At 44.5% G+C, this 25,908-nt stretch overlaps 1 protein-coding gene across 6 annotated transcripts in view; it reads right to left on the reverse strand.

Moving 5' to 3' along the window:
- SLC7A9 (solute carrier family 7 member 9) overlaps positions 1-25,908 on the reverse strand; it is a 39,257-nt gene that overhangs the window by 5,221 nt on the left and 8,128 nt on the right. For all 6 annotated transcript variants that reach the window (NM_001126335.2, NM_014270.5, XM_011526402.4 and 3 more), the window contains 5 exons: positions 24,875-24,919; positions 24,110-24,233; positions 22,709-22,812; positions 8,124-8,220; positions 6,437-6,586 (listed from right to left, as the gene is read on the reverse strand). In NM_001126335.2, coding sequence (NP_001119807.1) covers positions 6,437-6,586; positions 8,124-8,220; positions 22,709-22,812; positions 24,110-24,233; positions 24,875-24,919 — 520 coding nt within the window. The remainder of the gene's footprint in view (positions 1-6,436; positions 6,587-8,123; positions 8,221-22,708; positions 22,813-24,109; positions 24,234-24,874; positions 24,920-25,908) is intronic.

The raw sequence follows: 25,908 nt of genomic DNA on the forward strand, positions 1-25,908 counted from the left end.
TGTTGTTCTTTATCTTGCTTTTGGAGTTGTCTATTTAATTTGTTTTCATTTTTATTGATATATTTAATGTAATGGAGCTTCCTCAAAGCACTATTTAAGCTGTGTTCATAGATTATATGTCCTGTCATCATTACTGCTATTTCTAGGAATTTATGTACTGTGTGTGTGTGTGTGTGTGTATGTGTGTGTGTGTGTGTGTGTGTGTCCGAGTCTCACTTTGTCACCCAGGCTGGAGTGCAGTGGCACAATCTCGGCTCACTGCAACCTCTGCCTCCCAGGTTCAAGTGATTCTCAGCCTCAGCCTCCCGAGTAGCTGGAACTACAGGTGCCCGCCACCACGCCCGGCTAATTTTTTGTATTTTTAGTAGAGACAGGGTTTCACCATGTTGGCTAGGATGGTCTCGATCTCCTGACCTTGTGATCCGCCGGCCTCAGCCTCCCAACATGCTGGGATTACAGGTGTGAGCCACCACACCCGGCCTAATTTTTGTATTTTTAGTAGAGATGGGGTTTCACCATGTTTGCCAGGCTGGTCTTGAACTCCTGACCTCAAGTGATGCAACCGCCTTGGCCTCCCAAAATGCTGGGATTACAGGCGTGAGCCACTGCGCCCGGCCAGAATTTATGTACTTTTATCTTCTATTTCTATTAATATTTCCTCTTGGACCCAAAAGTTTAACTTTTTTCTTTTATCAATTTCCTGTTTTGTTTCATTAAAGAGAGAGAATGTTATTTGCTTTTTGGTTGTTTTGATTTCTGGGGTTTTCTTTTTGAAATATCAAGGTTTTCTTCATGGCATTAAAAGCTGTCAGTTTTCAGACAGGTCCCATTTGCAACTGAAAAAGGTATACTCGCTGTTGCTGGGGTTCGGGGCTTGATACAAACCTCTAAGATCTATCTTGCTATATTTTAGATCCCCAGTCACTTTTACCAGTGCTGCGTCCAGATCTGTCTTGGCCTGAAGGAGGTGTTTTCCAGTCACCTGTTATTAACGTGTTTCTCCCTCCGTGGATTTCCTGCAGTTTCTGCTTCGTAAAGATGGTTGCTATATGGTTTGGTGAATAGGTTTTCAAAACTTACCTCTTCATTGTGGATTTTAGCCTTTAGCATGGCCTGTCTTTGTCTTAAATAATGCTTTGGGCCTGAGCACTTGTCTGATAAGATCACAGCCCCTGTTTTTCTGTATATTCATTTGCTTGATATTTCTCTGCCTGTTCTTTTAATTTTTCACAGCTTTGAAGATCCGCCTGAAAAATCTTTTACTTTCAATGGCTGATGTAAGTCCAATTTAAATGGAGTAAGCCCGTTTATTCATATAATGATAAGTCTGGTCTCCATTCTCTCGTGTTGTTTTATCTTTCTGTATACAAGCATCCTCTACTCACTGTCAGTCTTGCGTCCTCGAAGAGTGATGTTCTATGGAAGAACCCCCCAGGCCTGTGTCCCTTCTTTTAAATTCACCATAGGAAACCTCAAATTTCCTGCCAGGTGCTGTGGCTCACACCTGTAATCCCAGTACTTTGGGAGGCCAAGGCAGGAAGATAACTTGAGCCAGGAGTTCAAGACCAGTCTGGCCCACATGGCGAAACCCCATGTCTACAAAAAATACAAAAATTAGCCAGGTGTGGTGGCGTGCACCTGTGGTCCCAGCTATTTGGGAGGCTGAGGTGGGAGGATCGCTTGAGCCTGGGAGGCACGGTTGCAGTGAGTTGTAATCACACCACTGCACTCCAGCCTGGGTGACAGAGGAGATTCCATCTCAAAAAAAAAAAAAAAAAAAAAAAAAAGAAACCTCAAATTCCCAACCAAAAAACAGTAAATGTGCATATAAATAACATGTTACCCAACACAGATTACATTAGATGGTAAACTGTGTTTAAAATAATTTTTGGTGACCAAACAGTTAACATGGTTGTTGACCAATGACTGCCTTTAATGCAATAACATGGTCTCGCAAGACGTGAGACGCTTACACCTCACACTGTCAGTACGCCTACACGTGGCTTTCAGTACGCCTACACGTGATTTTGATGTGTGTTGAATTTGGAATGTAACTTGAAACTTTTATCACACATTTTGTCAAAAGTTTATACTACATTTTGGGGATTCAGATACTGATTTTTCCATATAAATATCAGCTGGAAATGAAAGCATTTAGAGATGCATGGATTCTATAGTTCAGGGTGTTAAAAGCTAATAAGCAAAAAATAGCAATGACAAAAAATCCTAATAAGCAGTCTACAAGAAAACATCAACCAGGAAGGTATTCTGAGGGAGATCTGCCAGCAGGGTGAGACACTGTGACAGAGGTCTTGGAGTCAGGACAGGTGAGGACGCCGTGCCTGCCTGCACCTCACAGAAGCCAAGCGGCCCTTCTGTTGGTACTTACTTGAGATTTTCTGAGCCCATCCAAACTTGTAGTGGACAAACAGGAAGTAAAATAAAAGGCCGCTTAATATAAACAAGGCTTTATAGGTAGGGTCCTTTACAGTATGGTCTGTTTTGTTTCCCTCCTTTGTTTAAATGTTAAATTTTAATTATTTCATGTATTCTAAGCACACTTCCTCTTTTTTAATGTGTCTTTTGGTAGGTATGAAGGATGTGTTTTTGTTCTGAGAGTTACTGTAACTATTATAGCTAATATATTATAACTAATATATTTTAAAGGGGACTAAGGGCATTATTATATAAGGATATATTCTGTATAATATATGTGTATATTATATAAGAATATATTATATCTAATAGGCACAATCTATACATATATAATAGGCATAATATACATATATTTAATGCTATATATATTTGTTGTATATATGTTATATATTATGTATATATACATATCATGTGTATATAAAAACGTATATTATACATATACCTATAATATATACTTATATACAACATATTTATATCTTATATCCTTATATAATACCCTTAGTCCCCTTTTAAAGATATTATATATGTATATATGTACTTATATGTATATGTATTTGTATGTATAACAGACATGTAATGATACACATATACATATATACATATATGCACATATATACATATACAAATATATACATATATATCTATTATACACATATATTACATATATTATACATTATACACATATATAGTACACATATATGTATATATTATGTATAATGCCCTTAGTCCCCTTTTAAAGATATGAATTATATTATTAACTGAGCATATAATACCCTTAGTTTCTTCTTTTTTTAGACATTGTGTATAATAAGCAATAATGAAGTTAGCTAGGTGTTCTCTTCCTCCCAGCATCTAATTTAAAGTGGCTTCCTTATTGGCAGCTTGTCTGGCATACTTTCCTCAGTTGGCATATACTTTTCCATGTGCTTTCTCTCGTCCATGTTTTTGTATGATATTGCCAGTGCATAATAGTGGCATACACTTCTGTCCCCTTTATCTCTCATCATTAATCTTAGTTCTATAATTTGATATATTCACCTTTGCCAGTGACTTTTTGGTTTCTGAAGCTCATTCTCTGGGTGATTCCTCAAGGTCTCATGTAATTGGCGGGGCACGGTGGCTCACACCTGTAATCCCAGCACTTTGGAAGGCTGAAGTGGGTGGATCACAAAGTCAGGAGTTCGAGACCAGCCTGACCAACATGGTGAAACCCTGTCTCTACTAAAAATATAAAAATTAGCCAGGCGTGGTGGCACGCGCCTATAATCCCAGCTACTTAGAAGGCTGACACAGGAGAATTGCTTGAACCCAGGAGGCGGAGGTTACAGTGAGCTGAGATGGCGCCACTGCATTCCAGCCTGGATGACAGAGTGACACTCCGTCTCAAAAAAAAAAAAAAAAAAAGTCTCGTGTAAGGATATTTGCCTTGAGTTCTTTCATACTAGTGACTGTAGACTTTATTCTGCAAGGTCAGTTTGGCTGGGTATAAGAATCTGGCTTACATTTTCCTCCTTTGAGTAGTTTAAATATGTTGCTCCACTCTCTTGCAGCATGAAGTGTTGGTGGTGAAAAGTTTGAGGCCAGAATTATTTCCTTTCCTTTATAAGTGAATTGCAGATGGGAGTGGGAACAGGAAAAGGGGAGGGGATGCCCAAAGCATTTTTTTAAAGCTCTGTAATTTTATCAGCATATATTTTTGCTGCCAATTTTAGCTCAAAATTTCCAGTTACATTGTATGCCTTTCAGTATGTTGGTTCAAGATCACCCTCCATTTTTCCTCCCACCCCAGGAAATGTTTCTTGAATTATGGATTTTGGGATTCTGTTACTTGCATTTTCTTCTTCAGGGACTCCAATTATGCATGTATTAGATTCCCCACCTTCCCCACCCCTAGTTTTTTTCTGTCCCCTTGTTTTCTCTCAAACCCTTTCTACTTCTGTCTGATATTTGTTTTCTTCCTTTTGGCCTTCTGTTTCCTAGCATGTTTCTTTGCTCTTATGTTCTTTCTTTTCTTTTTTTCTTTGCAACGGGGTCCCTCTCTGTTGCCCAGGCTGGAGTGCAGTGGCACGATCTTGGCTCACTGCAGCCTTGACCTCCTGGGCTCAAGCATTCCTCCCACCTCAGCCTCCCAAATAGCTGGGACTATAGGCGTGCACCACCACACCCAGCTATCTTTTTGTAGAGACAGGGTCTTGCTGTTGCCCAAGCTGGTCTTGAACTCCTGGGATCAAGTGATCTTCCTCCCTTGGCCTCCCAAAGTACTGGGATTACAGGTGTGAGCCACCACACTCAGCCTCTGTGTTCCTTCTTTTCCTTCTTGCCCACTCTTTATTTCTGAAATGATTTTTTTCCCTAAAATGATGTTTTGAAGTGCTAATGGGACATGGCCTCTCTGTGGAGCCCCTTCCCAGTTGAGAGATTTGTATCCACAGGCTCCAGCTCCTTGACCCTGATATTCTTGCCAAGTTCCATGTCCTTTCTCTCCCAGCAGTTGTTTCTCTTGCTGTTGTCGTCAGTGATCCTTATCCTTCTGGAAAGGAGTTTTTGTGGGGAGTTTCTGGGATCCTCAAGGGCTTAAGCCACTGCAGCCCTGCTCCTCCACCTCCCCTGGGGGTCCTCTGATCTTCCCACTGAGAACCTCGTTCCACGTGCGCCCTCTCTCCTGGGAACACATGGTGCTGGAGTCCAGTGGGGCATCCACTTAGAGTCTGGAGTTGGTGGTAAGACTTCATTTCCTTGATTTGTGTTGACAATGTTGGCTGAAGTGTTTTCCTTTGGTATCCTAGAGGCTCTGTCTGTTTCTATGAGGGATTTTGTGCAGATTACAAGTCTATGCTACCGTCATAATTTTGCCTGCAATGACTTAACCAAGGTGGATCTGCCAGACTCCAGGCAGGCTGTGCCATGACTCAGCTGATGCCAGAGACTTGTCCATAGTCAAGACACAGGGCCAGAAAGACCACTGGATGTATCTCTGAAAACAAAGTCCTAAAGCTAAAGACATTGTCCTTATTCTCGTCCTAGTTACTTAAGCCCTCAGCTTACCTTTTTCTTATGTCTGTTATCATAAGAATTAAATAGCAGGTTTTTTTTAAAGCCCCTTAACATAACAACAATAAAATTCTACTTCATCCTTATTGGTATATAGATCCACACCAGCCATGCAGGGAGTGAGAGGGAGCCCGAAACAGATGGCAAGAATAGACTCTGAGTGGTTGCATGCACAGCAATGAGTCTGCGGCTGGAGTTCAGAAGTTCCCATCAGTCTATGAAAGGAGGCCGGCATAGTGGCTCACACCTGTAATCCCAGGACTTTGGGAAGCCAAGGTGGGAGGATCGCTTGAGCCCAGGAGTTTGTGACCAGCCTAGGCAACACAGTGAGACCCTGTCTCCAAAGAAAAAAAAATGAAACAAGAAAAATCTATGAAAAATATATGTGCGAGAGATATCAGAACTGGGCTGGGTGCAGTAGCTGACACCTGTAATCCCAGCACTTTGGGAAGCCAAGGCAGGCAGATCACTTGAGGTCAGGAGTTAGAGACCAGCCCGGCCAACATGGTAAAACCCCATCTCTACTAAAAATACAAAAATTAGCCAGGCGTGATGGCAGATGTCTGTAATCCCAGCAACTTGGGAAGCTGAAGCAGGAGAGTTGCCTGAACCGGGGAGGCAGAGGCTGCAGTGAGCCAAGGATGCGCCACTGCACTCCAGCCCAGGCGACAAAGTGAGACTCTGCCTCAAAACAAATGAGAGCCAGGTGGACCTCTTTGGTTACAGAGACGGGCCACAGGTATTCGTGATGACTTAATAAAATGAATAACAAGGTGGCTAACTGGATCATAAACTATGCTGTGAAGAGTAAACTCCACTCTAAAATACGATATTTTAAAAGAGTCAAGTCAGATTGGAACTAGAAGGCATGCCCCTAGCATTTGAAAGAGTTACATCTAATTCATTAAAAAATCCAAAGCCACTCGTGACTCTGGGGCTGCAAGCTTACCTTGATAGGCCTTTCCAGCTCTTTCCTTGTAAATCTCATCACGATGAGTCCTAGAATCGTCAGGCCATAAAACAGCCATGCGGCAAAGCTGAAATAATTGACTAACGAGTTTATGTCACCAGGGATGATATAAATCGTTGCTATGATACCCTAATAGAAAGAAGAATGGATTTGTAGGTCATTACTACAAAACACTGTTCTCATGTCACAGAAGACCGAAGAAGCAGTTTTTCTTGTGAATAAACACTTTAGCATGAAACGAACTTCTAGGCATTCCTTCATAGTTGGGGTTAAACCTGACTTTGGCTATGATAGCTCTTCTCTATGAAGCTTGCAGAAAAGACCTGGGAAATTTCTGAATCTTTGAGGTTGTGATTTTAAGCAAGGGAAAAATAAAATATTAGGTTGGTGCAAAAGTAACTGTGGGTTTTTTTGTTTTGTTTTGTTTTGTTTTGTTTTGTTTGAGATGGAGTCTCACTCTGTCACCCAGGCTCGAATGCAGTGGCGTGATCTCGGTTGACTGCAACCTCCGCCTCCCAAGTTCAAGCGATTCTCCTGCCTCGGCCTCCTGAGTAGCTGAGATTATAGGCAGGCACCACCACACCCGGCTAATTTTTGTATTTTTAGTGAGATGGGGTTTCGCCATCTCACGGTTTTAATGGTAAAAAACCGCAATTACTTTTGCACCAACCTAATATGTATGAATATTATACCAGCTTCATAATTAAGAATTTTCCACACAGAGAGTTTTCAATGTGGGCTGGGGCCCTGGATTAGAAGCTCAGGTCTAGTCTTGGCCTGTGTTAGTTGTGTGGCCCTGGACTGGTATTTCCTGGGTGTGTTTTCCTGTCTTCAGAATGATAGAGAGTAGTGGTTCTCCTCTGGGGGAAGGAGTGTAGACCACCCCTGGGGCTAGAAATGTGGATGGTTTATCAGTGCCCAGAACAGTTGCACAAAACAAGAACCATGCACCATGGAGAAGCTCCCATGGGCAGATGTCAAAGGGGTGGCCAGGCACGGTGGCTCATGCTTGTAATCCAGCAGTTTGGGAGGCTGGGGTGGGCAAATCACTTGAGGCCAGGAGTTCAAGACCAGCCTGGCCAGCATGGTGAAACCCCATCTCTACTAAAAATACAAAAAGTAGCCAGGCGTGATGGCAGGCCCCTTCAATCCCAGCTACTCGGAAGGCTGAGGCAGGAGAATCATTTGAACCTGGGAGGCGGAGGATGCAGTGAGCCAAGATCATGGCACTGCACTCCATCCAGCCTGGGTGACAGAGCAAGACTCCGTATCAAAAAAAAAGTCAAAGGGCGTTTACTGCACAAGGATCCGGTGACTTCTTAATCATTAGAGCATAATGAGAGGCAGCTGTCAGTAACTACCTGGGAAAATGTCTTGCTCTCCTTCCCTGTAAGCTAGTGGGCTTTTATATAGAGTTTGTTACCAGGGACCCAGCACAGACAAATGCACACAGAAGCATTGAGGGCATACACTGTCTTTCGTGGATAAATTCAGACAAAGGAGCAGATATTGGGTATGTTGTTTCACTTGTCCTGGGACTCTTTCTATATCTGTTTCATAGCAAGGAATAAGGGCATCTGGGTCATTTGGAAGCCGCCGGGCTTAGCACCCCATGGATGGAGTGTCCCCGCCTTGAAGATAGGCTGGTAGCGGGATTTGTACTCACATAAAAGATGATGGCGGGGGCTGGAGTGAGGCGCCTGACGCTGATGTAAGAAAGCACTTTGAGCATGTGACCCTCCCGGCCCGCCACGTAAATGAGTCTGGAAAATAACGACACGGGAGTCCGCTGACCAGAGTGCAGACCATCTGTCCAGGGCCACTGAGGACTTGTGCTCCGGGGTCCACCAAGGAGCCCTCGGGAGGCTCAGGAAGGGAGCTGAGCAGGGACCTGAGCTTCAGATGGGGGTCTGTCTTCGGGAGACGAGTGGGTTTTGGCAGAGTGAGTGAGGAGGTTAAACGCACTGAGAGACTAGGTGTGGTGGCTCACGCCTGTAATCCCAACACCTTGGGAGGCCAAGGCAGAGGATCACTTGAGCCCAGGAGTTGGAGACCAGCCTGGCAACATAGTGAGATCCCATCTCTACAAATAACTTTAAAAATTTTTTAAATGTACCATTTATTTGTGTTGGGAACATTCAATATCCTCCCCTAGCTATCTGAAGCTACATATTAATATTAATGTGAGCTCTAGCCACCCTGCTGTGTGTAGAACACTAGAACCTGTTCCTCCTGTCTAGCTGTAATTTTGTATCCTTTAGCAAGTCTCTCTCTATCTCCCTTTCCCCCCATGCTTTTCAGCCTCTGGTATCCTCTGGCTAACCAGAATTTCTTGAAAAAGTTACCATAATTAAAAATTTCGGCCAGGCACAGTGGCTCACACCTGTAATCCCAGCACTGGGAGACTGAGGCAGGTGGATCGCCTGAAGTCAGGAGTTCGAGACCAGTCTGGCCAACGTGGTGAAACCCTATGTCTACTAAAAATATGAAAAATTAGCTGGGCATGGTGGTGCACACCTGTAGTCCCAGCTACTCAGGGGGCTGAGGCAGGAGAATCGCTGGAACCTGGGAGGCAGAGGTTGCGGTGAGCTGAGATCGCACCATTGCAGCTAAGATCGCACCATTGCACTCCAGACTCCAGCCTGGACGACAGAGTGAGAATCCATCTCAAAAAAAAAAAAAAAAAAAAAAAAAAGCCAGATGTGATGGCTTACACCTGTAATCCCAGCAATTTGGGAGCCCGAGGCAGGCGGATCATGAGATTAGAAGTTCAAGACCAGTCTGGCCAACATGGTGAAACCCCATCTCTACTAAAAATACAAAAAATCAGCTGGGCATGGTGGTGGGCGCCTGTACTCTGAGCTGCTTAGGAGGCTGAGGCAGGAGAATCGCTTGAACCCGGGAGGCAGAGGTTGCAGTAAGCCAAGATTGTGCCACTGTACTCCAGCCTGGGTGACAGAGTGAGATTCTATCTCAAAAAAATAAAAATAAATAAGAGGAGAAGATATAAAAAACAGGAGCCTGAGCTGGGCATGGTGGCTGTCGCCTATACTCCCAGCACTTTGGGAGGCCGAGACAGGTGGACTGCTTGAGTTCAGGAGTTCAAGACCAGCCTAACCAACATGGGGAAACCCCGTCTTTACTAAAAATACAAAAATTAGCCAGGTGTGGTGGCGGGCACCTGTAACCTCAGCTGAGGCTGAGGCTGAGGCAGGAGAATCACTTGAACCTGGGAAGCGGAGGTTGCAGTGAGCCGAGATCTCACCATTGCACTCCAGACTCCAGCCTGAGCGACAGAACAAGACTCTGTCTCAAACAAAACCAAACAAACAAAAAAACCCAGGAGCCCTTGAAACATAGCAGACAAAAATTGGCAAATCCAATTTGAGCACAAGATTTGAACATTACAAGTTATAATCTTGATGATCATATAAAAATCTAGATATAATTATGGAATACACATTATCTTCAAGACCACAGGAAACATAAAAATATCAGTGAGCCACGAAGGTCATTTTCAAACTTCTAAAGAATTGAGGCCAGGCACAGTGGTTCATGCCTGTAATCCCAGGACTTCGGGAGGCCGAGGCGGGTGGATCACTTGAGGTCAGGAGTTCGAGACCAGCCTGGCCAACATAGTGAAACCCCCTCTCTCCTAAAAACACAAAAATTAGGTGTGATGGCAGGTGCCTATAATCCCATCTACTTGGGAGGCTGAGGCAGGAGAATCACTTGAACCTAGGAGGCAGAAGTTGCAGTGAGCCGAGATTGCACCACTGTACTCTAGCCTGGATGACAGAGTGAGACTCTGTCTCAAAAAGATAAATAAATAAGAATTGATGGGGGCATGGAGCCAAGATAGCCGAATAGGAACAGCTCCGGTCTACAGCTCCCAGCGTGAGCAACGCAGAAGACGGGTGATTTCTGCATTTCCATCTGAGGTACCAGGTTCATCTCACTAGGGAGTGCCAGACAGTGGGCGCAGGACAGTGGGTGCAGCACACCGTGCATGAGCCGAAGCAGGGCAAGGCATTGCCTCACTCGGGAAGCACAAGGGGTCAGGGAGTTCCCTTTCCTAGTCAAAGAAAGGGGTGACAGACGGCACCTGGAAAATTGGGTCACTCCCACCCTAATACTGCGCTTTTCCAACGGGCTTAAAAAACGGTGCACCAGGAGATTATATCCCGCACCTGGCTCGGAGGGTCCTACGCCCACAGAGTCTCACTGATGGCTAGCACAGCAGTCTGAGATCAAACTGCAAGGCGGCAGCGAGGCTGGGGGAGGGGCGCCTGCCATTGCCCAGGCTTGATTAGGTAAACAAAGCAGCCAGGAAGCTCGAACTGGGTGGAGCCCACCACAGCTCAAGGAGGCCTGCCTGCCTCTGTAGGCTCCACCTCTGGGGGCAGGGCACAGACAGACAAAAAGACAGCAGTAACCTCTGCAGACTTAAATGTCCCTATCTGACAGCTTTGAAGAGAGTTGTGGTTCTCCCAGCACACAGCTGGAGATCTGAGAATGGGCAGACTGCCTCCTCAAATGGGTCCCTGACCCCCCAGCAGCCTAACTGGGAGGCAACCCCCCAGTAGGGGCAGACTGACACCTCACATGGCCGGGTACTCCTCTGAGACAAAAATTCCAGAGGAACAATCAGGCAGCAGCATTTGCAGGTCACCAAAATCCGCTGTTCTACAGCCACTGCTGTTCTGCAGCCACTGCTGCTGACACCCAGGCAAAAAGGGTCTGGAGTAGACCTCTAGAAAACTCCAGCAGACCTGCAGCTGAGGGTCCTGTCTGTTAGAAGGAAAACTAACAAACAGAAAGGACATCCACACCAAAAACCCATCTGTACATCACCATCATCAAAGACCAAAAGTAGATAAACCACAAAGATGGGGAAAAAACAGAGCAGAAAAACTGGAAACTCTAAAAAGCAGAGTGCCTCTCCTCTTCCAAAGGAATGCAGCTCCCTCACCAGCAATGGAACAAAGCTGGACAGAGAATGACTTTGACGAGTTGAGAGAAGAAGGCTTCAGACGGTCCAACTACTCCGAGCTACAGGAGGAAATTCAAACCAATGGCAAAGAAGTTAGAAACTTTGAAAAAAAATTAGACAAATGGATAACTACAATAACCAATGCAGAGAAGTCCTTAAAGGAGCTGATGGAGCTGAAAGCCAAGGCTCGAGAACTACGTGAAGAATGCAGAAGCCTCAGGAGCCGATGCGATCAACTGGAAGAAACGGTATCAGTAATGGAAGATGAAATGAATGAAATGAAGCGAGAAGGGAAGTTTAGAGAAAAAAGAATAAAAAGAAATGAACAAAGCCTCCAAGAAATATGGGACTATGTGAAAAGACCAAATCTACGTCTGATTGGTGTACCTGAAAGTAACGGGGAGAATGGAACCAAGTTGGAAAACACTCTGCAGGGTATTATCCAGGAGAACTTCCCCAATCTAGCAAGGCAGGCCAATATTCAGATTCAGGAAATACAGAGAATGCCACAAAGATACTCCTCGAGAAGGGCAACTCCAAGACACATAATTGTCAGATTCACCAAAGTTGAAATGAAGGAAAAAATGCTAAGGGCAGCCAGAGAGAAAGGCTGGGTTACCCACAAAGGGAAGCCGGTCAGACTAACAGCGGATCTCTTGGCAGAAACTCTACAAGCCAGAAGAGAGTGGGGGCCAACATTCAGCATTCTTAAAGAAAAGAATTTTCAACCCAGAATTTCGTACCCACCCAAGCTAAGCTTCATAAGTGAAGGAGAAATAAAATACTTTACAGACAAGCAAATGCTGAGAGATTTTGTCACCACCAGGCCTGCCCTAAAAGAGCTCCTGAAGGAAGCACTAAACATGGAAAGGAACAACCGGTACCAGCCACTGCAAAAACATGCCAAAATGTAAAGACCATCAAGGCTAGGAAGAAACTGCATCAACTAACGAGCAAAATAACCAGCTAACATCATAATGACAGGACCAAATTCACACATAACAATATTAACTTTAAATGTAAATGGGCTAAATGCTGCAATTAAAAGACACAGACTGGCAAATTGGATAAAGAGTCAAGACCCATCAGTGTGCTGTATTCAGGAAACCTATCTCACATGCAGAGACACTCATAGGCTCAAAATAAAGGGATGGAGGAAGATCTACCAAGCAAATGGAAAACAAAAAAAGGCAGGGGTTGCAATCCTAGTCTCTGATAAAACAGACTTTAAACCAACAAAGATCAAAAGAGACAAGGCCATTACATAATGGTAAAGGGATCAATTCAACAAGAAAAGCTAATTATCCTAAATATATATGCACCCAATAACAGGAGCACCCAGATTCATAAAGCAAGTCCTTAGTGACCTACAAAGAGACTTAGACTCCCACACAATAATAATGGGAGACTTTAACACCCCACTGTCAACATTAGACAGATCAACAAGACAGAAAGTTAACAAGAATACCCAGGAATTGAACTCAGCTCTGCACCAAGTGGACCTAATAGACATCTACAGAACTCTCCACCCCAAATCAACAGAACATACATTTTTTTCAGCACCACACCACACCTATTCCAAAATTGACCACATAGTTGGAAGTAAAGCACTCCTCAGCAAATGTAAAAGGACAGAAATTATAACAAACTGTCTCTCAGACCACAGTGCAATCAAACTAGAACTCAGGATTAAGAATCTCACTCAAAACAGCTCAACTACATGGAAACTGAACAACCTGCTCCTGAATGACTACTGGGTACATAACTAAATGAAGGCAGAAATAAAGATGTTCTTTGAAACCAACGAGAACAAAGACACAACATACCAGAATCTCTGGGACACATTCAAAGCAGTGTGTAGAGGGAAATTTATAGCACTAAATGCCCACAAGAGAAAGCAGGAAAGATCCAAAATTGACAACCTAACATCACAATTAAAAGAACTAGAAAAGCAAGAGCAAACACATTCAAAAGCTAGCAGAAGGCAAGAAATAACTAAAACCAGAGCAGAACTGAAGGAAATAGAGACACAAAAAACCCTTCAAAAAATTAATGAATCCAGGAGCTGGTTTTTTGAAAGGATCAACAAAATTGATAGACTGCTAGCAAGACAAAGAAGAAAAGAGATAAGAATCAAATAGACACAATAAAAAATGATAAAGGGGATATCACCACCGATCCCACAGAAATACAAACTACCATCAGAGAATACTACAAACACCTCTATGCAAATAAACTAGAAAATCTAGAAGAAATGGATAAATTCCTGGACACATACACCCTCCCAAGACTAAACCAGGAAGAAGTTGAATCTCTGAATAGACCAATAACAGGCTCTGAAATTGTGGCAATAATCAATAGCTTACCAACCAAAAAAAGTCCAGGACCAGATGGATTCACAGCCGAATTCTACCAGAGGTACAAGGAGGAGCTGGTACCATTCCTTCTGAAACTATTCCAATCAATAGAAAAAGAGGGAATCCTCCCTAACTCATTTTATGAGGCCAGCATCATCCTGATACCAAAGCCTGGCAGAGACACAACCAAAAAAGAGAATTTTAGACCAATATCCTTGATGAACATTGATGCAAAAATCCTCAATAAAATACTGGCAAACCGAATCCAGCAGCACATCAAAAAGCTTATCCACCATGATCAAGTGGGCTTCATCCCTGGGATGCAAGGCTGGTTCAACATTCGCAAATCAATAAATGTAATCCAGCATATAAACAGAACCAAAGACAAAAACCACGTGATTATCTCAATAGATGCAGAAAAGGCCTTTGACAAAATTCAACAACCCTTCATGCTAAAAACTCTCAATAAATTAGGTATTGATGGGACGTATCTCAAAATAATAAGAGCTATCTATGACACACCCACAGCCAATATCATACTGAATGGGCAAAAACTGGAAGCATTCCCTTTGAAAACTGGCACAAGACAGGGGTGCCCTCTCTCACCATTCCTATTCAACATAGTGTTGGAAGTTCTGGCCAGGGCAATTAGGCAGGAGAAGGAAATAAAAGATATTCAATTAGGAAAAGAGGAAGTCAAATTGTCCCTGTTTGCAGATGACATGATTGTATATCTAGATAACCCCATTGTCTCAGCCCAAAATCTCCTTAAGCTGATAAGCAACTTCAGCAAAGTCTCAGGATACAAAATCAATGTACAAAAATCACAAGCATTCTTATACACCAATAACAGACAGAGAGCCAAATCATGAGTGAACTCCCATTCACAATTGCTTCAAAGAGAATAAAATACCTAGGAATCCAACTTACAAGGGATGTGAAGGACCTCTTCAAGGAGAACTACAAACCACTGCTCAATGAAATTAAAGAGGATACAAACAAATGGAAGAACATTCCATGCTCATGGGTAGGAAGAATCAATATTGTGAAAATGGCCATACTGCCCAAGGTAATTTATAGATTCAGTGCCATCCCCATCAAGCTACCAATGACTTTCTTCACAGAATTGGAAAAAACTAAAGTTCATATGAAACCAAAAAAGAGCCTGCATTGCCAAGTCAATCCTAAGCCAAAAGAACAAAGCTGGAGGCATCACTCTACCTGACTTCAAACTATACTACAAGGCTACAGTAACCAAAACAGCATGGTACTGGTACCAAAACAGAGAGATACATCAATGGAACAGAACAGAGCCCTCAGAAATAATGCTGCATATCTACAACCATCTGATCTTTGACAAACCTGACAAAAACAAGCAATGGGGAAAGGATTCCCTATTTAATAAATGGTCCTGGGAAAACTGGCTAGCCATATGTAGAAAGCTGAAACTGGATCCCTTCCTTACACCTTATACAAAAATTAATTCAAGATGGATTAAAGACTTACATGTTAGACCTAAAACCATAAAAACCCTAGAAGAAAACCTAGGCAATAACATTCAGGACATAGGCATGGGCAAGGACTTAATGTCTAAAACACCAAAAGCAATGGCAACAAAAGCCAAAATTGACAAATGGGATCTAATTAAACTAAAGAGCTTCTGCACAGCAAAAGCAACTACCATCAGAGTGAACAGGCAACCTACAAAATGGGAGAAAATTTTCGCAACCTACTCATCTGACAAAGGGCTAATATCCAGAATCTACAATGAACTCAAACAAATTTACAAGAAAAAAACAACCCCATCAAAAAGTGGGCAAAGGATATAAACAGACACTTCTCAAAAGAAGACATTTATGCAGCCAAAAGACACATGAAAAAATGCTCATCATCACTGGCCATCAGAGAAATGCAAATCAAAACCACAATGAGATACCATCTCACACCAGTTAGAATGGCGATCATTAAAAAGTCAGGAAACAACAGGTGCTGGAGAGGATGTGGAGAAATAGGAACACTTTTACACTGTTGGTGGGACTGTAAACTAGTTCAACCATTGTGGAAGTCAGTGTGGCGATTCCTTAGGAATCTAGAACTAGAAATACCATTTGACCCAGCCATCGCATTACTGGGTATATACCCAAAGGATTATAAATCATGCTGCTATAAAGGCACATGCACACGTATGTTTATTGTGGCACTATTCACAATAGCAAAGACTTGGAACCAACCCAAATGTCCAACAACAATAGACTGGATTAAGAAAATGTGGCACATATACACCATGGAATACTATGTAGCCATAAAAAATGATGAGTTCATGTCCTTTGTAGGGACATGGATGAAACTGGAAACCATCATTCTCAGCAAACTATTGCAAGGACAAAAAACCAAACACCGCATGTTCTCACTCATAGGTGGGAATTGAACAATGAGAACACATGGACACAGGAAGGGGAACATCACACTCCGGGGACTGTTGTGGGGTGGGGGGAGCGGGGAGGGATAGCATTAGGAGATATACCTAACGTTAAAATGACGAGTTAATGGGTGCAGCACACCAACATGGCACATGTATACATATGTAACAAACCTGCACATTGTGCACATGTACCCTAAAACTTAAAGTGTAATAATAATAAAATTAAAAAAAAAGAAGAATTGATATCAGGCCAGCCACTGTGCCTTACACCTGTAATCCCAGCACTTTGGGAGGTTGAAGTGGGTGGATTGCTTGAGGCCGGGAGTTTGAGACCAGCTTGGGCAACATAGTAAGACCTCACATCTACAAAAAACTTAATATTAGCCATGCATGGTGGCACGTGCCTGTGGTCCCAGCTACTTGAGAGGCTGAGGTGGGAGGATCACTTAAGCACAGGGAGGGGTCTGAGGCTGCAGTGAGCCATGATTGCACCACCACACTCCAGCCTGGGCGACAGCGAGACCCTGTCTCAAAACGACGAACAAAAACCCTAAATCAAGACTTGATATCATAAAGGTCACATACTCTAATTACAGTGCAGTAAAATTAGAAGTCAATACAAATGCCACAAAGACCCATCTATTTACAACTACATATCTTAACTTTGAATTGATATGAACTTGATATTAATTCCCAAAAGAAGTGAAACCAGGAGGATGGGAGTTGATTAATGGAAGGGAGATTTAGACACAAGGTGAATACTGTCAAATCTTTTTATCAGTCCTCCAGAAATTAATATAGAAATTCCATAAAATCAGAATGCAAGCAGTACTTTTGGAACCGGACAAAATAATTCTAAGTGTATAGGGAATGCTAAACAGACAAGGAGAAGTCTGACGTGGGAGCGTTAGTCCTGCCAGATTTTACAAGACCAAAGCTATAAACTTTTTTTTTTTTTTTTTTTTTTTTGAGAGACGGAGTCTCGCTCTGTCACCCAGGCTGGAGTGCAATGGTGCAATCTCGGCTCACTGCAACCTCCGTCCCCCAGGTTCAAGCCATTCTCCTGCCTCAGCCTCCTGAGTAGCTGGGATTATAGGCGCCCACCACGTCCGGCTAATTTTTGTACTTTTAGTAGAGACAGGGTTTCACCATGTTGGCCAGGCTGGTCTTGAACTCCTGACTTTAAGTGATCCACCCACTTCGGCCTTCCAAAGTGCTGGGATTACAGGCGTGAGCCACCACGCCTGGCCCATGTCATTCCATTTAGATGAAATGTCAAGAAAAAGCAGTTATAGAGACAGAAGTAGATTAGTGGTTGCCTGGAGCTGCGGGTGAAAGCAGGGATTAATTAGGCAATGAGGAAACTTTTTGGGGTGATGGAAATGATCTAGAATTGGATTGTGATGTTTGTACAGCCTTATAAATTTATGAAAATAATTGAGTTGTATAATTACAAAGGGTGAGTTTTATATTTGTACCTTAATTAGAACTGTTAAAATTGTGTTTGTGTATACTAGCAATAAACTATCAGAAACTAAAAATTAAGCAACTTTTTTTTAACAGTACCATTTACAATAGTATGAAAAATGAAATTCTTTGGAATAAATTTGACAAAAGATGTGCAAGAACTATATACCAAAAACTACTCAAAAAACTTTTTTTTACAGAAAATTAAGCCAGGCCCAGTGGCTCACGCCTGTAATCCCAACACTTTGGGAGGCTGAGGCAGGTGGATCACTTGAGGCCAGGAGTTTAAGACCAACCTGGGCAACATGGTGAAACCCTGTCTCTACTAAAAATACAAAAATTAGCCAGGTGTGATGGTATATGCCTGTAATCCCAGCTACTTGGGAGGCTGAGGCATGAGAATCGCTTGAACCTGGGAGGCAGATGTTGCAGTGAGCCAGGATCGTGTCACTGCATTCCAGCCTGGGTGACAAAGCAAGATCCTGTCTCAAAAAAAAAAAAAAAAAAACACCAACAAACAAAAAAGTTGTTAAAACAAGATTAAAGACCTAAATAGTCCACCCATGGATTGGAAGACTCAGTATTTTTTTTTTTTTTGGAGACAAGGTCTCACTCTGTCTCCCAGGCTGGAGTGCAGTGCAGTGGTGCAATCTCAGCTCACTGCAGCCTCGACCTCCTGGGCTCACACGATCCTCCCACCTCAGTCTCCTGAGTAGCTGGGACCACAGGCATGTGCCACCATGCCTGGCTAAGTCTATTGTACTTTTTGTAGACATGGGGTCTCACTATGTTGCCTAGGCTGGTCTCTAACCCATGGGCTCAAGCAGTCCTCCCCCTCGGCCTCCCAAAGTGCTTTGATTACAGGTGTGAGCCACCGTACCCATGCTGGAAGACTCAGTACTTTTAAGACAGCAGAGTCTTCCCCCAGTTGATCTATGGATTCAACCCAGTCCTGATCAAAATCCCAACAGCTTTACTATAGAAACTGGCAAGCTGATTGTAATATTCATATGCAAGTGGGAAAGCTGCCAGAATGAAATTGGACCCTTATCTCACCCCTTAGACAAGAAATCTACTCAAAATGGATATAAGACTTGAAACTGTAAAATTCCTAGGAGAAAACAGGCAAGCTCTGTAACATTGGTCTGGGCAATGATTTTTTGTTGTTGTTGTTTTTGAGACGGAGTATCTCACTGTGTCGCCCAGGCTGGAGTGCACTGGTGCGATCTCGGCTCACTGCAACCTCTGCTTCCCGGGTCAAGCAATTCTCCTGCCTCAGCCTCCTGAGTAGCTGGAATTACAGGCATCTGCCACCATGCCCCACTAATTTTTGTATTTTTAGTAGAGACAGGGTTTCACCATGTTGGCCAGTTTGGTCTCGAACTCCTGACCTCATGTGATCCACCCACCTCGGCCTCCCAAAGTGCTGGGATTACAGGCGTGAGCCACTGCACCTGGCCTTGGGTATATATTTGAATGAATTGAAATCATATGCCAGATACCTGCACTCCTATGTACCTCTGGGTATATATTTGAATGAATTGAAATCCACATGTCAGGTGTCTGCACTCCCATGTTCATTACAACGTTATTCACCACAGCCAAGACATGGACACAACCTAAGTGTCCATCACAGATGAATGAATAAAAATAATGTAATAGATACACAATGGAATACTATTCCGACTCTAAAGAGAATGGAATTCTGTCATCTTTTGACAACAGAGATGACTCTAGAGAACATTATGCTAAGTGAAATAAGCCAGACACAGAAAGACAAATATCCCATGATCTCCCTTATGTATTATGGAGTCCTAATTAGGGAAAATGAGTCAGGCTGGTGGGACCAAGGGAAAGCCAAAAGAGATAAGACAGATAAGCTACAAGCCCGCCTTTCTTCATGGTCCAGGACACATAGCCCCCCTGCACAAATAACTTACAAGCTTCCTGTGCCCAGTGATCGCCAGTCCCTCAGCTAATAGAAAAATGCAGCCGGGCGCGGTGGCTCACGCCTGTAATCCCAGCACTTTGGGAGGCCAAGGCGGGCGGATCACGAGGTCAGGAGATCAAGACCATCCTGGCAAACACGGTGAAACCCCATCTCTACTAAAAATACAAAAAAAAATTAGCCGGGCGTGATGGCAGGCACCTGTAGTCCCAGCTACTCAGGAGGCTGAGGCAGGAGAATGGCGTGAACCTGGGAGGTGGAGCTTGCAGTGAGCCGAGATCATGCCACTGCACTCCAGCCTGGGTGACAGAGCAAGACTCCGTCTCAAAAAAAAAAATAGAAAAATGCAAGTTAGCTCACTGCAACCTTGGCATTATCAGTACTGCACGTACCCCTGTCCAGCACACAGCACAAGCACCATCCTACAAAATCCCCAGCAAGCCTTTGTCTCTTTGCAGTCAGTTCCTCTCTTGCTGACCTGCTCATTGCACCCTTGCAATGTATTTTCCTACTTTCTGTAATAAATCTGCCTTTCCTGACCTACAGCTGTCTTGGTAAATTCTTCTTATCCCTGTACCACCAGCCCAGATAGTTGTAATCATCTGCAACATACATGAAATCTAAAAATTCAAACATAGCAATAGAGAGTAGAATGCTGGTTACCAGAGGCTGAAGGAAGAGGGGCCTGGGATGGCAAAAGGGGAAATGTTGGTCAAAGGCTACAGAGTTTCAGTATGATGGGAGGAATAAGCTCTGGTGATCTACTGCACAGCAAGGTGACTATTGTTAGTAATAGTGTATATTTCAAAATAGCTAGTGGTTTTTTTTTTTTTTTCTGAGACGGAGTCTTGCTCTGTTGCCCAGGCTGGAGTGCAGTGGCGTGATCTTGGCTCACTGTAAGCTCTGCCTCCTGGGTTCACGCCATTCTCCTTCCTCAGCCTCCCAAGTAGCTAGGACTACAGGCGCCCGCCACCACGCACAGCTAATTTTTGGTAATTTTAGTAGAGATAGGGTTTCACCATGTTAGGCAAGATGGTCTCGATCTCCTGACCTCGTGATCTGCCCGCCTCGGCCTCCCAAAGTGCTGGGATTACAGGCGTGAGCCACCATGCCCAGCCAGTGAATTTTTAATGTTCTCAGCATAAAGAAGTATGTGAGGTGATACATATGCCATTCCACAATGTTTACATGTATTGAAACATCACACTGTACCACATACATATATGCAATTATTGTTGTTATTTTTTAGAGGCAGGGTCTTACTCTGTTACCCAGGCAGGAGTGCAGTGGTGTGATCGTGGCCCACTGCAGCCTGGAACTTCTGGGCTTCTGGAACTACAGGCATGGGCCTCTACACCCAGCTAATTTTTAAATTTCTTTTTGTAGAGACGGAGTCTCACCATGTGGCCCAGACTAGTCTCGAACTCCTGGCCTCAAGCAATCCTCCTGCCTCAGCCCATATAAGCAATTATTATTTGTCAATTTAAAATAAGGCGGCCGGGTGTGGTGGCTCACACCTGTAATCCCAACACTTTGGGAGGCTGAGGCAGGTGGATCACGAGGTCAGGAGTTCAAGACCAGCTTGGCCAAGATGGTGAAACTCCGTCTCTACTAAAAATACAAAAATTAGCCAGGCATGATGGCAGGTGCCTGTAATCCCAGCTACTCCAGAGGCTGAGGCAGAAAATTGCTTGAACTAGGGAGGCGGAGACTGCAGTGAGGCGAGATCACACCACTGCACTCCAGCCTGGGTGACAGAGCAAGACTCCATCTCAAAAATAATATAAGGCTGGGCACGATAGCTCATGCCTGTAATTCCAGGGCTTTGGGAAGTGGAGGCAGGAGGATCACTTGAGCCAGGAGTTCGAAATGGGCCTGGGCAACATGGTGAAACCCCATCTTGACTAAGAATACAAAAGTTAGCTGGGTGTGATGGCACGTGCCTGTGGTCCCAGCTATTCCAGAGGCTGAGGAGGGAGGATTGCTTGAGCCCAGGAGGTAGAGGCTACAGTGAGCCAAGATCATGCCAGTGTGCTCCAGCCTGGGCGACAGAGTGAGACCTTGCCTCAAAATTAATTAGTTAATTAAAATTTAAATTTAAAATTTATAAAGAAATACAAAGGATCTAGCCAAAACGCTTTTGACAAAGAATGAAGTTGGAGGCCTAGCACTACATGTATTTCGGTTTGGCTTTAGAAGAATGATTTTATGGTATTTCATTTTTTAACATACACAGACTTTGTCAATTTCACTCTGAAATATATCCATTCAGAACACTGGACAACTAAGCCAAGACACGTGTTCGAGGATGTTCACTGCGGCAACGTTCATGGAAACCACCCACACCCAGGTGTGAGTGAAGGATTTGTTAAGTTATGCTACATCTGAAAGTGTGATACAACACAGCTGGTGGCAGTCTCTAGACCAGATGGGTCTAAAGGATTGGCAAACCACAGCTGTTTGGGCAAATAAAGTTTTATTGGAACATGACCATGGCTGTTCACTCTTGGGTACCAAGGCAGAGTTGAGAATCTGTGACAGAGGTTTATGCAGCCTGCGAGCCTGGAATATTTACCATCTGGCCCTTTAAGGGAAAGTTAGCCAATTCTGGGTTATTTATTAATTTGCTAATTAGCAAATTAGTTTGTATATATTAACATGGGGAAGATGTTCAGGAAATATCACTATGTGAAAAATATCACTAGGTGAAAAGGTAAAAAGTGCCACGTGGAAAACCAGTGCCTCATTCACGCGGTGTCGCTTCCCTTCGCCTCAGCATGGGCAGCTTCCCCCCCATGTTGGGAACTAGGGCCCCCTGGAGTGGAAAGGCTGAGATTCCAGGCAGCCTTGATCAATTCCCGTGTGCAGGCCCATCCATGCCTTCCTGGCCAGTTTGCGGTGTGGGTTCAAGCTACATCCCTTCTCTGGATTTGGGTCTCCTACTTGTACTGGCGTGGGTTTCGCCTGGCAGAACCCTGAGGATTTTAGCTGTGTGTCTTCCTCGGGGGTGATATTGCTTTCGCCGCCCCTGTCCACCCTGGGAGTGACGGTGGGGGTCCCCTACCTGCCCGCTGTGAAGCAGGTCCCGTTAGCAGCACCGATGGTTGAAAATGCCACAAAAAGTGGAACGATCCAAGAAGCAGGATAGAGAACACGGTCACCAAATGTCTGGTGAGAGAAGCGAGATGAGTCCTGAGGGTCTTTCTTGGCCTCCAAGAGCGGCCGGCCCCCAAAAGCTATTCTGGCCTCCCAGGGGACCCAGGGACCCACCTCGCCTCGGGGCACAGCCTCTGACTCCTCCACTGCAGAGGAGAGAGGAGAACGCCACTCGCCTATCTCCAGATATTGTGATGGCAAGAGAAGTCTCTTATCTACTACTCCCTGGCATAAATCTTTATTTATTTATTTATTTATTTATTTATTTATTTCTGAGATGGAGCTTTGCTCTTATTGCCCAGGCTGGAGTGCAATGTTGCTGTCTCGGCTCACTGCAACCTCTGCCTCCCAGGGTCAAGCGATGCTCGTGCCTCAGCCTCCCAAGTAGCTGGGATTACAGGCGCATGCCACCACATTCAGCTAATTTTTGTATTTTTAGTAGAGACGGGATTTCACCACGTTGGCCAGGCTGGTCTCAATCTCCTGACCTTGCGATCCACCCATCTCGGCCTCCCAAAGTGCTGGGATTACAGGCATGAGCCACCATGCCTGGCCAAATCTTTATTTTTTAATTTGATTTTTTTTGGAGACAGGATCTTGCTCTGTCGCCCAGGCTGGAGTGTAGTGGCGTGATCACGTCTCACTGTAGCCTCAATCTCCTGGGCTCAAGTGATCCTTGCCTCAGTCTTCTAAGTAGCTGAGACCACAGGCACTCGCCACCACACCCAGCTGCGTAATTCTTGGTCATTTCAATATCCTGACACCTTCACCTCTCACTTCCCTGAACCCCCACTCCAACCGGAATGGCTGAATTCTCCCTCCCACCTCAGCAGCCCCCAGTCTTGTGGTCAGTGACCTCAACACTTATCCAAACTGCGTCTCCTCCACCTTCCAAATCCCCAACACGTGGTTGTCTGTTTGCAACTGCAGGAGGCCCCCAGCCACCTCTTCACTGACCCCAATGCCTCTCACCTCTCACCTTCTATGATTCATTATTATTTAGGGTGGTGCAAAAGTAATTGCCAGTTTTGCCAAAAATATATATATTTTTTAATATATAATGACCTAATATAATGACCTCCCCCGACTCCCTGGCACTTTCTGCCTCTGCTTCATGCTTGCCTGCCGAACCCTCACCCTGGCTAGCCCGGCCCTGCCTCCAGCTCCATGCCGTGCGTGCCCAGTCCATGTCCCCGTCCGTGAATATCGCCCTCCTTCCCTGGGAGGGAGCTCACCTCCAGTGCTGACACCTGCCTTACCCCTTCCCACAAGCCACAGCCCCCGCCAGCAGCGATGCCCGGGCACTCACCACAGCCACCGCCTGGGACTGCAGGAGTTCGGTGGCAGTCATCACGGTGAAGTAGGACACGTTCATGAGGATGTAGCACGCCGTCACCAGGGGGATCCCGATGATAATGGCCAAAGGCAGGTTTCTGGGAGGGGCAATGACACGGAGACCCACGTTCAGACCACAGCCTCCCGCGGAAGATGGACGCCCTCCCTGAGGCCCTCCCAGGGAGAAGATTCGCAGGTAGCAGAGGCCCAGCAGGAACATAAGACATTTTCAAATGAGAATGCTGCCTCTCTCAGACTCCAGAGCAGTTCACATGGAACTGTTTATAAAGCAAAATAAGCCAGAGATAAAGGAAGACCAAGCTCTTCCCTCCCTTAGGAGCCACTGCTCTGTCCCAAACCAAACCAAACTCTAAGCGTGCATAGTGAGCTCATAAGAAACCATTCGCTGGCCGGGTGCAGTGGCTCACACCTGTAATCCCAGCACTTTGGGAGGCCGAGATGGGCGAATCTCTTGAGGTTGGGAGTTCAAGACCAGCCTGGCCAACATGGCAAAATCTCATCTCTACTAAAAAAATACAAAAATGAGTGAGCTGAGATTGCACCACTGCACTCCAGCCTAGGCAACAGAGCAAGACTCTGTCTCAAAAAAAAAAAAAAAGAAATAATTCACTGTCGGGAAGGGCATCATGGAATACCCAGGGAAATAGCTCCAGCCTTCACCAGGAGAAGAGAAATCAGGCTGCCCGGCTACTGTCCTCTGCACTGATTCAGCTGTTACCTGTAAGGGTTTCTAAGTTCTTCTGTGATGTAATTGAGTTGATTCCTGGAAAAAGGAAAGTAACAAGCGTCACACACCTTGACTTTCTTTTTCGATAATGAAACCCACAATAATAAATGTTGGCCTCATTTAAGATTCTCTACCAGAGAAAAAAATTCTCCTGCAGGAATTCCAGGTGAATTTTTTTCCAGGTGAATGGCCCTGCTAGTGGTGGGGCCTGGGGCCCTACCCAGACCTACACATCTGTCAGCTGGTTGAGCCTTTGCCCTCCTCGGGAATCACACGGATTTTCAAGAATAATCAGGAGTAGTGAGTCCCCAGGGTGCTTTGAAAAAATGGAATATTCTTTGTCTGAAAAGGGAATTAAATCTATAAATGCTTTGCAGGAGAGAAGGACCATCGTTGCAGATGGCCATGCTTCTTCCTTAAAGGACAAAAATGGGCCAGGCATAGTGGCGCACGTCTGTAATCCCAGCACTTTGAGAAGCCGAGGTGGGCAGATCACTTGAAGTCAGGAGTTCAAGACTAGCCTGGCCAACATGGTAAAACCTCGTCTCTACTAAAAATACAAAAATTAGCCCTGCATGGTGGCAGGTGCCTGTAATCCCAGCTAGTCGGGAGGCTGAGGCAGGAGAATTGCTTGAACCTGGGGGATTCAAGCAATTGCAGTGAGCCGAGATCTCACCACAGCACTCCAGCCTGGGTAATAGAGTGAGACTCCGTCTCAAAAAAAAAAGAAAAAAAAGGACAAAAACAGAATCTCATCCACTAAACTCGATAAATATATAAAATTTATATGGTATTATTTATTTTTGTAGGGCAGTCCCCCAAACCATAATAGATTCAGAGAGGCTCCCAAACCTAATGATTTTCAAGGTTAAATAGAAGTGCTATTGAGTATTCTTTGTTTAATCAAGAGCTTGGGGCTGGGCGCAGTGGCTCACGCCTGTAAACCCAGCACTTTGGGAGGCCGAGGAGAGAGAATTGCTTGAGTGTAGGAGTTTGAGAGCAGCTTGGGCAACACAGAGAGACTG

The sequence above is a fragment of the Homo sapiens genome, chromosome 19 (genome assembly GCF_000001405.40).
Source record: "Homo sapiens chromosome 19, GRCh38.p14 Primary Assembly".
NCBI classification, from domain to species: Eukaryota; Metazoa; Chordata; class Mammalia; order Primates; family Hominidae; genus Homo; species Homo sapiens.